At 34.3% G+C, this 16,470-nt stretch overlaps 1 protein-coding gene across 3 annotated transcripts in view; it reads left to right on the top strand.

The window, feature by feature from the left end:
• LMBRD2 (LMBR1 domain containing 2) overlaps positions 1 to 16,470 on the top strand; it is a 53,481-nt gene that overhangs the window by 13,472 nt on the left and 23,539 nt on the right. For 2 of the 3 annotated variants that reach the window (NM_001007527.2, XM_011514162.3), the window contains exons 5-9: positions 975 to 1,142; positions 1,897 to 2,107; positions 14,151 to 14,225; positions 15,455 to 15,568; positions 15,953 to 16,136. In NM_001007527.2, the coding sequence (NP_001007528.1) occupies positions 975 to 1,142; positions 1,897 to 2,107; positions 14,151 to 14,225; positions 15,455 to 15,568; positions 15,953 to 16,136 (752 nt within the window). Of the gene's footprint in view, positions 1 to 974; positions 1,143 to 1,896; positions 2,108 to 2,192; positions 2,365 to 14,150; positions 14,226 to 15,454; positions 15,569 to 15,952; positions 16,137 to 16,470 lie in introns of those variants that run through there. The other variant, XM_047417877.1, reaches the window with a different exon arrangement.

Genomic DNA, 16,470 nt, shown 5'->3' with positions numbered 1-16,470 from the left:
CATCTATGCTGTGCTGTATGTATCAGTATTCTGTTCTTTTCCATTTCTGTAACATACCCCATTATATGTATATGCCATAGTTTATCCTACCCAGCCAAACTTCTTAAATAAATTCTCTATATTTGATATCTCCACTTGCTCATTGTTTACTTATTTCTTAACCATAGTACTCTGCTTTCTATTCTCCTCCACTTATACATACAGGTTCTTAATTTACTTCACCTCTTGGCGGCATTTGATTCTCTCTCTCCACTTTAACTTTCCTCTCCTAGTTCCTAATCCATATGCTCCTTGGTTTTCTTCCTTGCCCCACTATTGTTCTGTCTCAGTCTCTTTTGCTGGTCTACCCTCCTTCTGTTCTCTACCTCTCTTAAAAGTTGATATTTCTCAGAGTTCTGTCTCAGTTCTTTCCTTCACATTCTCCATACTCATTCTTACAGTTGAGTATCTACTGATGTTATTTCACTGCCATTGATACAGTGATGACTTCGGAAGCTATCCATATTTTTAGTCCGCTCTCCTGAACCCTGAAGCTGGGTTTGTGTGCAGCTCCTCTTGGATGTCTCCTAGGTACTACTTCAAAGTCAGTATGCTGTCAACTGACCTTCTCCCTTTTTGCTTCTTACCACCATCATCACCCTTCCCCCTCCCAACTAGTTCCAATTTTGTTCCCCTTTTATCCATTCTCCGTGTGAAGCCTTAGGAAACTAAAATTTGATCAAAAATGTTTTCTTTGAATGTAGTCCAGACTCTTCATAAAGGCTTTAAAGACCCATTTGCTTTCCCTAAAATTTTATATTACAAAAATACTCAGTCATCTATTATAGTTATTAAGTATTCATGATTACTTATAAACATTTATTAATGAGAAGACCTATTCATTAAAATTGAGATTCATATATTTCTGGCACTTTGAGATTATACAGACATATCAATTATTTGGGTTTTTAATCATATTTTTTCTATCCATCTAGGATTCTCTTACCTTTTATGCAGTCATATGCAAGATCAGGAGGGTTTTCCATCACTGGAAAGATCAAAACTGCACTAATTGAGAATGCAATCTACTATGGCACCTATTTGCTGATTTTTGGAGCATTTTTAATTTATGTAGCTGTAAACCCACATTTACATTTAGAATGGTAAGAAAAGTAGTCTTCTTAACATTGCTTTAATGTATGTTTGCATTTTTAAAAAATCATTTTTAATTTCATATGTGCAGGTAAAAAGACATTTCATTGAGAAATATATTGTTACATATTTTATGGATTTCCCCAAAAGAATATGTGAATAATCCATATTACTAAGAAAATATGGAATGACATCTTTAAATATAGATTTTAGGCAAAAGATTAATGATTAGTCTAATGGCTATATATTAAAAGTAATAACCCTTATGATTTTTGGATAGAATTTCAAAATTTTTATGATAAAATAACTGGTTTTATTTTTCATTGGAACTTGTGATTTTTTTTGTTTTGATTATAATTTGAAGGCATATTTGTTCTTAATGTTACCTTGGATTTAGATATTTCAATAAAATTGAAATCTGTTTTATACTTATGATTTGTAATATATGTGAAGGTCTACATCTGAAAATTTAGGAATAGATCAGCAGTGCTAGGTCTCACTATTGTATTCCTGAGATTTGCTAGGTCAGCAACACAGGTTAATTTGAAACATTTTCAAACTTCTTTTGTTTAATATAGAATAAGAAATCACCTAATGAAAAATGTTTCCTTTGGGAAAATATATACATATTATTGCCATGAATTATTCTAGATGCTAATTTTAACTGCAGTAGAAACAGTGTCTCCTGTGTTAAAGTCTATTTATGCAGTCGCATTTTATCTTTCCATTAAAATATACATATTATCTGTTGTTTCCCTTTCTTAGGAACCAGCTTCAGACAATTGGGATAGCTGCTGCAAATACATGGGGTCTGTTTCTTCTTGTGTTGTTGTTGGGGTATGGCTTGGTGGAAATTCCTCGATCATACTGGAATGGAGCAAAAAGGGGTTATCTACTTATGAAAACGTATTTTAAGGCAGCCAAACTGATGACAGAGAAAGCAGATGCAGAAGAGAATTTGGAAGATGCCATGGAGGTAAGCAAGTTTGAACCTTATAAGCAATAGTCACTAAGTCATATGTATCCCCTTTTAGTCATTTTTGGTTTGTTGTTGTTGTTAGTGCATTGATGGGCTTCAGACTGCAAAACTGGTGTTGTGCAATCCTTCAGGATGTCTCATCCAGGATGACTTTTTAGCAGTTCAGCCTCATGATGTGTCTTGTCCATCTTCTGTCTGACAGAGATTCATGGAAAATATATTCAATAGTGCAGGGCTACGCCTATTATTTTGAGGTAACTTTTAATAGTACCCTCTTTAATTTTCAAAAGTCTCCGAGATTAAATGATAAATTGTATGGTTACCCTAACATAGTAGAACTGAGAATAATGACCAGAGGACACTTATTTCCGAAAGGTTAACCTAAGGTAATCCCACCAATTCTGGAAACCTCTTTAAAGAACAATTTGCATGGGAGTTTGTATTGGTAAGTTTTGTTTCCTATCTGTAATCTTAATAAGACACTTCATTTTACTTGATGACTTAACCTAGTTTCACAAAGTTGTTGAAAGTATAACTTTCAATACTGTACATAAAAATATACAACAAATTATAAAATTTTTCTGTGTTAAATAAAAATTTTGTTATGGATTTAAAGAGATTATTGTAGTCACCTCACATTTTTGCTTCCCAGGGAAAATATGCTACTCAGCTGATGATACTCTCCAAATTAAAACTCCTGTTGAAGGCTTTTCATTCATGTTAGAATAAACTCCAAAATGTTTTAATGCAGCCTACAGAAAAATAATTTGGCCTATGTTTAGCTCTCCAGCTGTATCCCAAGCCTCTATTTTCTTGCACTGGTCATCTTTGGTTTCTCAAACTTGCTAATGTTGATGAAATAATAAACAATTCTATAGACTTAATATTTACCTAACACTCAACTTTCGTTCCTCAAACTTAGTAATGGTGATAATTATAGTAAACAATTATATAGACTTACTATTTGCCTAAGAGGGACTTTCTAAGCACTATACATATATTTAATTCTCATGACTTTATGATAGAGATTTTTGTAAATCCCCATTCTATAAATGAAGAATATGAGGCACGGAGAGATTAAGTAACTTTCTCATGTCTACATGGCTAGGAAGTGATAAGAGCCAGGCAGTCTTGCCTTAAACAGGGACTGACAAACTTTTCTGTAAAGGGCCAGATAGTAAATATTTTAGGCTTTGTGTGCAATGTCATTTCTATTGCAACTACTCTGTCATTGTAGGATGAAAGCAGCCATAGCCAGTAAATAAATGAATGAGAGTGGGTGTGTTCTAGTATGAGAACAAGTAGTGGACTGAATTGATCTGGCTTGATGACCATATGCTTAATTATTACACACATTGTCTTTCTTTTCTATCTTTGAGCATGCTATTCCCAAACTATTAGAATGCTCTTTTCAGCACTCTCTTCAGCTAATTCCTATTTCATTTTCAAGTCTTAACATAAATGATAATTCTTCAGGGAAGCTTTATTAGCTTCCTAGGACTGCTGTAACAAAACTACTACAAACTGGGTGGCTTAAACAATAGAAAATATTGGCTCACAGTTCTGGGGACTAACGTTCAAGATTAAGGTATCTGCAGGGTTGGTTCCTTCTGAGGGTTCTAGGGAAAATCTGTTCCATGTTTGTCTTCTGTCTTCTGGTGGTCTACGATCTTTGGCATTCCTTGACTTGTAGACCCCTGCCTTCATCTTCACATGGTGTTCTCCCTGCGTGCCAGTGTCCAAACTTCATTGTTTTGTAAGGACACCAGTCATATTGGATTAGAGTTCATCCCACTCCAGTATAACCTCATCTTAACTTAGCTAATTAAATCTGCAACAACCCTATTCCAAATAAGATCACATGTTAAGATACTGGAGGTTAGGTTTCAGGGGACACAATTCAACCCATAACATCTTCCCTGATTGTCCAGACTCTTAAACACTCAGCAACCATTTTTTAAATGAATGAATAAATGAATAAATGAATGTATACTGTGATTCGAAAATTTTACGTTGGCTTTGCAGCATTTATTCTCTACAAAATGTAAGAACTACAGCAGAAAATATTGATTTAAATGTAGGAGTGAGTCTGTAAATAGTATTATTTAAATTGAAATGAATAAATTTCCTGTTATATTCAACATTCCCATGATGAATGTTATTATGTCTTTTGAAAGAACATTATTTATATTTGATAAATTTTACATTTATATTTGAAATTTTGAATTTTTGAAAAAATTGAAAACTGATATTTCAATAAGATACTTATATTTGATAAAAGAAATTAATTTAAGTTTAAGTTTGATAGCGTTCCATCCAAAAGTTGGTATTAAATTCAGTTGTTTCAGATTTGAGGAATTTGGATTTCACTAATTTATTCAACATTCCTGCAAAAAAAATAAACCCAGCTATTATTTGAGTTATGGATTTTCCCTAGAGGAAGCTTTGCTGTCTGAATAAAATAGATTTTGTTGTTGTTATTTTAAAATAGGAGCCCTTTGCTTAGAAATAGGATGTGGAAAATTAAGGACCAGCATTGGACTTCTCTGCTATTTTAGTATAGTATTCTTAAGTTTTAAGCTGTGTAAAAAAGTTTAGATAAGAAACTGCTCTTTAAAAATGGATGTTTTGAAAATAGCAGTAAGTACACATAGATAGCAGGAGAACTCTGAACCTCTTTCCATCAAAAACAATGCATGATTTCTCAGGTATGAATTTCTTTTTTGTTTGTTTTTCTGGGGTTTTAAAAAATTTTCGTACATGCTCTTCACCTCAAGCATTTATTTTTCTTTATGTTACAAACAATCCAATTATATTCATTTAGTTATTTTAAAATGTACAATTACATTATTGACTGTAGTCACCCTGTTCTATCAAATACTGGATATTATTCACTCTAACTATATTTTTGTATCCATTAACCATTCCCACTTCCCACCCTCCCCTCTACCCATAACCCCTCCCAGCCCCGTAAATAAGTGGGAACATGTGAAGTTTGTCTTTCTGTGCCTGGCTTATTTCACTTAACATAGTGACCTCTAACTCCACCCATATTATTGCAAATGACTGGATCTCATTCTTTTTAATGGCTGAATAGTACTCTGTTGTGTATATGTACCACATTTTCTTTATCCATTCATATGTTGATGGACACTTAGGTTGCTTCCAAATCTTGGCTATTGTGAGTACTGCTGCAATAAACATGGGAGTGCAGACATTTCTTTGATATAGTGATTTCCTTGTTTTGGTTATATACCTAGCAGTGGAATTGCTGAAACACATGGTAGCTTTTTTTTTTTTTTTAATTTTTTTGAGGGGCCTCCAAACTGTTCTCCATAGTAGTTGTACTAATTTACATTACATTATTGTCTGTCTTTTGGATAAAACCCATTTTAACTGGGGTGAGATGATATCTCATTGTAGCTTTGATTTACATCTTTTTGATGATCAGTGATTCAAAAATCAGTAGCATTTCTATATGTCAACAGCAAACAATCTGAAAAAGAAACCCCATTTACAATTGCTATAACACAAATAAAATATCAAGGAATTAGCCAAATAAGTGAAAGATCTCTGCAATGAAAACTATAAAATGCCTGTTTTTGCCTGTTTGCCATTTGTATGTCTTTTTTTTTTTTTTTGAGAAATTCAAATCTTTTGCCCATTTTTAATCTTATTATTAAATTTTTTTTCTCATGGAGTTGTTTGAATTCCTTATATATTCTGGTTATTAACCTCTTGTCAGAAAGATAGTTTACAAATATTTTCTCCTATTCTGTGGGTTATGTCTTCATTTTGTTGATAGTTTCCTTTGCTGTGCAGAAGCTTTTTAACTTGATGTGATCCCATTTGTTCACTTTTGCTTAGATTGCCTGTGCTTGTAGGTTATTACTAAATAAATTTTTGCCCAGTCCAATATCCTGGAGAGTTTCTCCAATGCTTTCTTGTATTAGTTTCATAATTTGAGTTATTAGATTTAAGTCTTTAAATCATTTTGATTTGATTTTTATATATGGGGAGATAACTGGTCTAGTTTCATTCTTCTGCATATATCCAGTTTTCCAGTTTTCCTGGCACCATTTATTGAAGAGACTATCCTTTCCTCATTGTATGTTCTAGGAGCCCTTGTCAAAAATGAGTTCACTGTAGATATATGGATTTATTTTGGAGTTCTCTATTCTGTACCATTGGTCTGTTTTTATCCTAACACCATGCTGTTTTGTTTATCACTTTATTATGTAGTTTAAAGGCAGATAATGTGATTCCTCCAGTTTTGCACTTTTTACTCAAGATAGCTTTGGCAGTTGAGGCTCTTTTGTGGTTCCATATAAATTTTAGGATTGCTTTTTCTATTTCTGTTAAGAATGTCGTTGGTATTTTGATAGAGATTGCATCGAAATTGTAGATTGCTTTGGGTAGTATGGACATTTTAACAATATTGATTCTTCCAATCCATGAAAATGGAATACCTTTTTATTTTTTGTGTCCTCTTCAATTCCTTGCATCAGTGTTTTATAGTTTTCATTGTAGAGATCTTTCACTTATTTGGCTAATTCCTTGGTATTTTATTTGTGTTATAGCAATTGTAAATGGGATTTCTTTTTCAAATTGTTCACGGTTGACATATAGAAATGCCACTGATTTTTGAATGTTGATTTTGTGTACTGCAGCTTTACAGAATTTGTGTATCACTTCTAATAGTTTTTTGGTGGAGTTTTTAGGTTTTTCCAAATGTGAGATTTATCACCTGAAAACAGGATAATTTGACTTCTTTCTTTCCAATTTTGATGCCCTTTATATCTTTCTCTTGTCTGATTGCTTTACCTAGGACTTCCAGTACTATATTGAATAACAGTGGTGAAAGTGGGCATCCTTGTCTTGTTATGGATCTTAAAGGAAAGGCTTTCAATTTTTCCCCATTCAGTATGATACTAGCTGTGGGTCTGTCATATATGACTTTTATAGTGTTGAGGTATGTTCCCTGTATATTCAGGGTTTTTTAGGGTTTTTATCATAAAGGGATGCCGAATTTTATCAATGCTTTCTCAGCATCAATAGGAATGCTCATATGGCTTTTTTCCTTCATTCTATTAATATGATATATCACATTGATTGATTTGCATATGTCAAACCATTCTTGTATTCCTAGTATAAATCTGAATTGATCAGATGGATGACCTTTTCAACGTGTTCTTGAATTCATTTTGCTAGTGTTTTCTTGAGGATTTTTGCATGAGTGTCTATCAGGGATATTGGCCTGCAGTTTTCTTTTTTTGATGTGTCTGTTTCTGGTTTTGGAATCAGGGCAATACTGGCCTCGTAGATTGAGTTTGGAAGTATCCCTCCTCCTCTGTTTTTCAGAATAGTTTGAGTAGGATTTGTGTTAGTTCTTTAAATGTTTGGTAAAATTCAGCAGTGAAGCCATTGGGTCCTGGGCTTTTCTTTGCTGGGAGACTTTTTATTATGACTTTGATTTTATTACTTGTTGTCAATCTGTTCAGGTTTTGGATTTCTTCATGGTTTGATCTTGGTAGGTTGTATGTGTCTAGGAATTTGTCCATTTCTTCTAGGTTTTCCAATTTATTGGCATATAGTTGCTCATTAGAAGTCTCTAATAATCCTTTGAATTTCTGCAGTATCAGTTGTAATGTCTTTTTTATCAATTCAGCCACTCTGTGTCTTTTGATTGAAGAGTTTAGTTCATTTACATTCAGTGTTATTATTGATAAGTGAGGACTTACTCCTGCCATTCTGTTATTTGTTTTCTGGTTGTTTTGTGATATTCTTTTCTTTCCTTCCTTCCTGTCTTCCTTTTTGTGAAGGTGATTTTCTCTGGTGGTATGTTTTAACTTCTTGCTTCTTATTTTTTGTGTATCTGTTGTATGCTTTTTGGTTTGAGGTTACTTGAGGCTTGTGAGTAATATCTTATAGCCTGTTATTTTAAACTGATGACAACTTGACATTGATTGCAAAAATAAACAGAGAAAACTAATAAAAACTCTAGATTTCACTTCATCCCTCCAATTTTTAACTTTTTGTTATTTCTATTTATGTATTATTATACTATCTGTGTCTTAAAAAGTTGTTGTAGTTATTTTTCTTTATTTTATTTTATTATTATTATACTTTAAGTTTTAGCGTACATGTGCACAATGTGCAGGTTTGTTACATATGTATACATGTGCCACGTTGGTGTGCTGCACCCATTAACTCGTCATTTACATTAGGTATATCTCCTAATGCTATCCCTCCCCGCTCCCGCCACCCTACAACAGACCCTGGTGTGTGATGTTCCCCTTCCTGTGTCCATGTGTTCTCATTATTCAGTTCCCACCTATGAGTGAGAACATGCGGTGTTTGGTTTTTTTGTCCTTGCGATAGTTTGCTGAGAATGATGGTTTCCAGCTTCATCCATGTCCCTACAAAGGACATGAACTCATCCTTTTTTATGGCTGCATAGTATTCCATGGTGTATATGTGCCACATTTTCTTAATCCAGTCAATCATTGTTGGACATTTGGGTTGGTTATTTTTCATTGGTTTGTCTCAAGATATGAGTAGTTTTCACACCGCAGTCATAGTGTTAATAATATTCTTTGTTTTTCTGTGTACTTGCTATAACCAATGAGTTTTGTACCTTCAGATGATTTTTATTGCTCATCAATGTCCTTTTCTTTCAGATCGAAGAACTCCCTTTAGCATTTCTTATAGAACAGGACTGGTATGGACGAAATCTCTCAGCTTTTGTTTGTCTGGAAACGTTTATTTCTCTTTCATGTTTGAAGAATATTTTCACTGGATATGTTATTCTAGGATAAGTTTTTTTTTTTTCTTTCAGCATTGTAAATATATCCTGTCACTCTCCTGGCCTGTAAGGTTTCCACTGAGAAGCCTGTTGCCAGACATATTGGAGCTCCATTGTGTGTTATTTGTTTCTCTTCTCCTGCTGCTTTTAGGATCCTTTCTTTATCCTTGACCTCAGGGAGTTTGATTATTAAATGTCTTGAGATAGTCTTATTTGAGATAAATCTTCTTGGTGTTCTATAATCTTCTCATGCTTGAATATTGATATCTTTCTCTAGGTTTGGGAAGTTCTCTATTATTATCACTTTGAATACACTTTCTACCCTTATCTCTCACTCTACCTCCTCTTTAAGGCCAAGAACTCTTAGATTTGCCCTTTTGAGGCTATTTTCTAGATTTCGTAGACACTTTTCATTCTTTTTTATTATTTTTTGTCTCCTCTAACCATATTTTCAAATAGCCAAATTTTCAAGTGTCTTCTAGCTCACTGATTCTTTCTTCTGCATGATCATTTCTGCTGTTAAGATACTCTCATGCATTCTTCAATATGTCAATGCATTTTTCAACTCCAGAATTTCTACTTGATTATTTTTAATTCTTTCAACAGCTTTGTTAAATTTACCTGATATGATTCTGAATTCCTTCTCTGTGTTACCTTGAATTTTGTTGAGTTTCCTTGAAACAGCTATTTTGAATTCTCTGTCTGAAAGGGCACATATCTCTGTGTCTTCAGGATTGGTCCCTGGTGCCTTGTTATTTATTTTATTTAATTTTTTTGAGGCAGGGTCTCACTGTGTTACCCAGGCTGGAGTGCAGTGGCATGATTTTGGCTCACTGCAGTCTCCACCTCCTGGACTCAAGTCATCCTCTCACGTCAGCCTCCCAAGTAGCTGGTAGCTGGTACTACAGGCACACACCACCACCCAGCTAATTTTTGTATTCTTCTAGTGACAGGGTTTCACCATGTTGCCCAGGCTGTTCTCAAACTCCTGAGCTTAAGTGACCTCCAGCCTTAGCCTCCCAAAGTGCTGGGATTACAGGAGTGAGCCACTGTACTTGGCCCTGGTGCCTTATTTAGTTCATTTGGTGAGGTCATGTTTTTCTGGATGGGCTTGATTCTTGTGGATGTTCGTCGGTGTCTGGACATTGAAAAGTTAGGTATTCTTTATAGTCTTTGCAGTGTGGGCTTATTTGTAGCCATCCTTCTTGCAAAGGCTTTCCAGGTATTTGAAGGGACTTGGGTATTGTAATCTAAGTTTTTGGTCACTACAGCTGTATCTATATTAGGGGACACCCCAAGCCCTATAATGCTGTGGTTCTTGCAAACTTGGAGATGTGTGCCACCTTGGTGGTCTTGGATAAGATCTGGAAGAATTCTCTGGAGCACCAGGCAGAGATTCTTGTTCTCTTCCCTTACTTTCTCCCGGACAACTGGAGTCTTTCTCTTTGTCCTGAGCTGCCTGGAGGTGGGGGAGGGGTGTCTCAAGCACCCCTGTGGTCACCATCACTGGGACTGCACTGAGTTAGACCTGAAGTTATCATGGCACTGTGTCTCGCCCAAGGCCCACGGTAACCACTGCCTGGCTACCGTCTATGTTTGCTCAAGGCCCTGGTCCTCTACAGTCAGCAGGTGGCAAAGCCACCCGAGCTTTTGTTCTTCCCTTCAGAGTGGCAAGTTCTCCCTGAGTTGGGGTGTGTCCAGAGATGCCATCTGGGAGCTAGGGCCTGGAGCCAAAAACTGTAGGAATCTACCTGTGGCTAAACTGGTACCCAAGCCACAAGACAAAGTCCTTCTCACACTTTCCTCCCCTTTTCACAAGCAGAGGAGTCTCTCTCCATGGCCACTACTGCCCCAGGGCCACAATGAGTATATCCTCATTACCTCCAGTGTTCATTCAAGGCCCAAGATCTCTTCAGTCAGCTTTTGGTGAATGCTGCCATGCCTGGGACTTTCCCTTCAGGGCACTGGACTCCCATGTGACCCAGAGAAGGTTCAACAATGCTGTCTAAGAGCCGAGTCCTGCAATCTGGGGCCCCAAGAGCCCACTTAGTACTATAGCCAACAGTGGCTGAGGTTGTACCTTGTTTTTTGGTTTTTATGAAGGCACTTTTTTGTGTGGATAGTTGCTTAATTTGGTGTTCCTGTGAGGAGGACAATCAGTGGAGACTTCTGTTCAGCCATCTTGCTCCACCTCCTGTGTATGAATTTCTCTGGCCATATACTTCAAGGTATTTTGGGATTCTTTCTGCTTTTCTGAATATCTGGAAACTTATAAACTTGAGGAGAAATGTATTTATCATTTAAAAAATATTTACTGTCTTCCTGCCATGTTAAGTGCTATGCAGAACTGGCCAGAATAGAAATTCCTATTCTACTGACTTTCTAGAGTAGAAAATTGGACAGAGTCCCTTACAGTTTATGGTAAATGTGACATGAATGATGAAAATGCTCTAGTATGGAGAGGTATCACTACTGAATAATGGTCAAAGGACATGAAGTATGGCCTGGGCCTTGCGGGATGGGTAGAATTTTGATAGCTGATAACATTCTGGGCAGATATCAGGAAGTTTTAAAACCAAATTAGTTTGAGCATAAAGTTTACATTGGAAAGATAAAGCTATATCTTGGCTTTGAATGCCATACTGAGAAGTCCAGTCATTTGACAGATAACAAACTTCAATCACTTTATTGGTAATTATTTTTTCAGCTATCCATTTAATCTCCCAAATGTAGTTTTATAAAAACTGTTTGGTATTTTTATGATATGTTTCTCTCTGAAATTGATATATGCATTTGTGTGTCTATTACCTTTCTTTGAAGCATTAATAAAACTTATAAACTATGTCAAATCATTCAAAAGGTATTTGCTAGATGGCCAAAAAGGTCACCTCTACCTTTTATCATTTTTCTAGATAGAGAATTTTAGGGAGGGAGAAACAGCTACTTTTTTCCACTGAAAACTGCCTGTTAGCCTCCCTTCACGAATGCTGTCTGACCTGCTTAGAAAAGAATTTGACAAGACACAGTAATGAAAGAGCTCAAAGTTACATTATTTTGTATGAAGAAGGCAAACAGTATATTTCAAATACTTTCCATGCTTTATTAAAATTATGAACTTTTGAAGGAACCCTAAATTTATAATAGATATAGCAAATGTTAATTAATTGTTTCAGTACTTGTTTTTTAATATGGCTAAATAATTTAAAGAAAAAAACATGGTATTTCACATATAATATATAAACAAATTGTTTAGTTCATATTAAAAGTATGATAAATTTGTGCTAACAAGTCAAGAAACTTTAAGGCAGCTTAGTAATGGAAAATAGATGTAATGATGCTTCCAGGTAACCTCTTAAAAACCCAAGTCTTATCTTGTCACTGTCATGTATAGGCATCACACATTAACCTCAAAATAAACCATGATTAAGGGCTTCTAGGATCACTTTGATCTTGCTCTTTCAGCCTGAGCCAGTGCTATGCAGACCCTTAATCTCCCTTTCCCTGTAATCACACTGGACTTTTTCAGTCCCTTCAAATAATGTACTCACTTACGCCTGGAGGCCTTTATGTGTCCTGTCCCTGTCTCTTTGCCTGGAATATTCTAGTCTCTCCCTTTGGTTGACTGACTTCTATATATTTTGTTTCATCTCATTTTAAATAATCAGTTAATCAGAATCTACATTCTCCCCTCTCAGAGCACCTCATACTTTGACAGCAGTTTCCACATCATTTTTATTTATGTTTGTTTTCCTCATTAAGCTAAATTCCTTGACAGGAATAGTGTCTACTGGTACAGATTATTTATAAAGTATGCATATTCTAAATTTCAATAGATGTTGTGAAATTACCTTTAAATAGATTATATCACTTTTTGCTGTGTATAGGAGGGCCTGTTTTCCCAGTCTTACCTCTTTACATGATATCAATTTTGAAAAAAGCTTCTTATTTTTAAAATCTGTAACTGTTTTTAGCGAGCTCAGATATCTTTTTAGACATTTATTGGCCAATTGTATTGTTTTCTATATTCCCATTTTTCTGTTGATTTGTAAGAGCTCATCACATATTAAGGATAATGAGTCTGTCATATAAATTACAAATATTTTTTCGCAATTTTGTCTATGTGCTAGATGGCTTCTCCGCCTTGAGTTTTGTATCCCTTAAAACCCTGCTCTACTCTATGCCCCAGAATGTTCTTCTAAATATCCTGCTCACTTCTCTTATGCTTTCCAGGCTGTGAACATGCTATTTCACCTGACTAAAACAGTGGTTTCAACTTCTTAAAAATTTCATGAATATTATAGAATATTGTGATTCCTTAGGAACTACTGGTTCTAAAGAGTCTTCTCTTTAACCCTTTTGTGCCTTTTATACTCAGAATTGCTTATTTAATTATCCATTACTGGACTGAAATTTTAAGACTGACAATTCCTTGTCTTCTCTCCCCACCCTCCAGTATGGATTACGGGGGCCTTACACCTAGCACAGTACTGGCAAATAGTATGCTGTTTTGTTTGTTTGTTTTTAAGTTATTCTATTTTTAAATTTTAATCTATTTATTTATTTATTTATTTATTTAGAGACCAGGTTATGAGACTGGCTAATGTTTGTATTTTTGGTAGAGACAGGGTTTCACTGTATTGCCAAAACTGGTCTTAAACTCTGGGACTCAAGTGATCCACCTGTCTCAGCCTCCCAAAGTGCTGGGATTACAGGCCTGAGCCACTGCGCCCGCCAGTAGATAGTGTGCTCCTGATAAGCAAGTATGGAGTTAATCAATCATGACTGCTCTAGAGTACTCTTCTATTGGAAAAGAGCTGGCACTTTGTGACATTTGTAGCCTTTTCTGCTTCCTCTGGTTTTTCACTGTATTTTATATAATGAGATCATTGATCTTGGTGAGTAAGGCAGAGGAACATATCCCTATTCTTTTAGGACCATAAAGTTTGTCTGATCTTTTGTGGACTTTTAAATAGTGCTTATTCTTTTTTGTGTACCAAGTAATGAAGTGATGAGAGAGTGAATCTAGAAAGTAAGGAAAAGTTCAGGGTATAGAAATAGCTATTCAGTGACTTTGTATTTTTACTTGTGTTCTTAAGAACCTTTATTCATGTAATGCAAAGTAATTTGTGTTGAAGTTGAACTTGTGAGAAAATATATAGTACCTAATGCATTCTCATTTGGAATATGTGATCTGTAGAAATGGAAATATTTTTATTTATTTTACTGTTTTTATAGGAGGTTCGTAAAGTGAATGAAAGCATCAAGTATAATCACCCATTGAGAAAATGTGTTGATACAATACTTAAAAAGGTAATGAAATCATCTTGTCTGTTTCCTTTTGAAATATACACTTATATAATATTATACCAAAAGTACCAGAAAAGTATGAAAACAGCCTATAGCTGAGGTCTTCTAAATTCATTTTCATAGAAATATCAACCCAACACCATTTGTACTTTGAATTTTTTTAATTACTGCAAGTTTAACACTAATTATTGGCAGTATTTTCTATTGAAATATGGAGATAGAGGTTGAGTAATATATAAGGATTGTCATGACAATGATGGAAATAAACCTTTAAAATGTCATTGTATATGTTCACTAAAGGCATATCTCCTATAAGAAAATAAACCAAGGCCTCAGTAATATCTTACAATCAGCTGCCTACACGTTATTTTACAAATATATTTCATTAATATATTCATGACATATATCATAAAATGAATGATGTTAACATAGACATTTAATAAACTATACTATATTTAACTATATTTATATTTATATATTTACTATATTTATAATAAACTTAACTATATTTAATAAAGTTAAGGTTTTGATGCATTGGTATTGAATTAGGGGTATTCATATACTTCCAAAAATGGTTATTTGCAGTTCCCCAATTGTCTTTTAAACCCACAGAACCATGGAAACATTTATTTTCCTAGATTTTAAATCTGTTATACTGATTCTTGTGTAGTGTTCTGTTTGGCTAAGATAATACTCATGGAATCACTTTTCTAACTATTTATCTCACATTTGCTACTTTTTGAGAACTACTAAGAGAGGTTAACTAAGTTGCCCAAGTTCATATAGGTAATAAGTGAGTAGTAGTATGGAAGATGACTTTAAATGCATGTATTTATTTCTCTGTGCTATGCCTTTCAAAAATTCAGCATCTTGGATTTGTCATGATTTTGCTTCATTCTTTAGCTAGAAAAATAATTTATCCTACTTAGAATAATCTTCTCAAATACTAGTTGCTTCCTGCAGGTAAGCTCCCCTGCCTATAGCCATCTATACCTATCTGGTATATATGAACACAAAGATTAATATTATAAAGGTGAGAAGAAACTCAGTACATCTTTTAAGACATTTTCAAGAAAATATCAGCAAATGAAGTCTAACTAGAGATGACAATAAAGTAGGAAGATGTTTTTGAGAAAATTAGAACTGCTCAAGAATGAAAGATTTTTAATAAAAATAAATTTTTATCTTTTTACAATTAAGATTTTTAAAAATCTACTTTTTTTTTTTTTTAGTGCCCTACAGAGTATCAGGAAAAAATGGGTAGGAACATGGATGATTATGAAGATTTTGATGAAAAGCATAGTATCTATCCAAGTGAAAAAAGTCTGGTAAAACTGCATAAACAGGTAACTTTGTTAATTATAAGTATTTTACTTAATGATGATTTTAATTAGACTTCTAATCATTGCTCATAAAAAAAGGAATTTTTAGTGAATGTGTATTTAAAACTTCCTTTAATCCCGTCCTTATCATTCTTTGAAATATTTTATCTCTGTGTATACCAGCAGGGGTATTATTGGCGTTTGGGGAGGGAGAATTCTTCACTGAGCATAACTGTTACATTATATAAAACTGTTACATCATTTTGGAACATTAATATTCTCAGCCTGACCCAGTAAATGCCCTAGCACTTTCCCATTGTTATGACAATCCAAACATGCTCCCTAGTGGAGAGTTGAACCACTGTTGGATCAGAACACTGCCAGGTCTACCCCCATTCTCTTTTTTAGGTGATTTATTCAGTTCAGAGACACCGTCGAACTCAAGTACAATGGCAGATTCTTTTGGAACAAGCATTTTATCTAGAAGATGTAGCAAAAAATGAAACTAGTGCTACTCATCAGTTTGTTCACACCTTTCAATCGCCAGAGCCAGAAAATCGATTTATCCAATATTTTTATAATCCTACATTTGGTATGTAATTTGATATAAATTTCAAACTTTAATGATGAAAAGTTTTCTGTAGAAAGAAGTTATGTATTTTCACCAATGCAAAGTTGAATTTTATTTGTATTATTTGATTTATACCATGTGATATTAAGTATCTGGTAACATTTCCCCAAAATAACTGTTTTACTTATCATATAACATATAATCCATCAGTTTCCACTGTTACTTCACAAATAATAAAAATTCTATTAAAAAACATGTATACATCAAGCATATTTTTTATAATGCATAATATATACAATTATGCATTGCTTAATGACTGGGATTACTCTGAGAAATGTATTGTTAGGCAATTTCA

The sequence above is a fragment of the Homo sapiens genome, chromosome 5, assembly GCF_000001405.40.
Source record: "Homo sapiens chromosome 5, GRCh38.p14 Primary Assembly".
Taxonomy (NCBI): domain Eukaryota; kingdom Metazoa; phylum Chordata; class Mammalia; order Primates; family Hominidae; genus Homo; species Homo sapiens.
The sequence above is the reverse complement of the archived record's forward strand: the minus strand, read 5'-3'. Positions and strand labels throughout refer to the sequence as shown.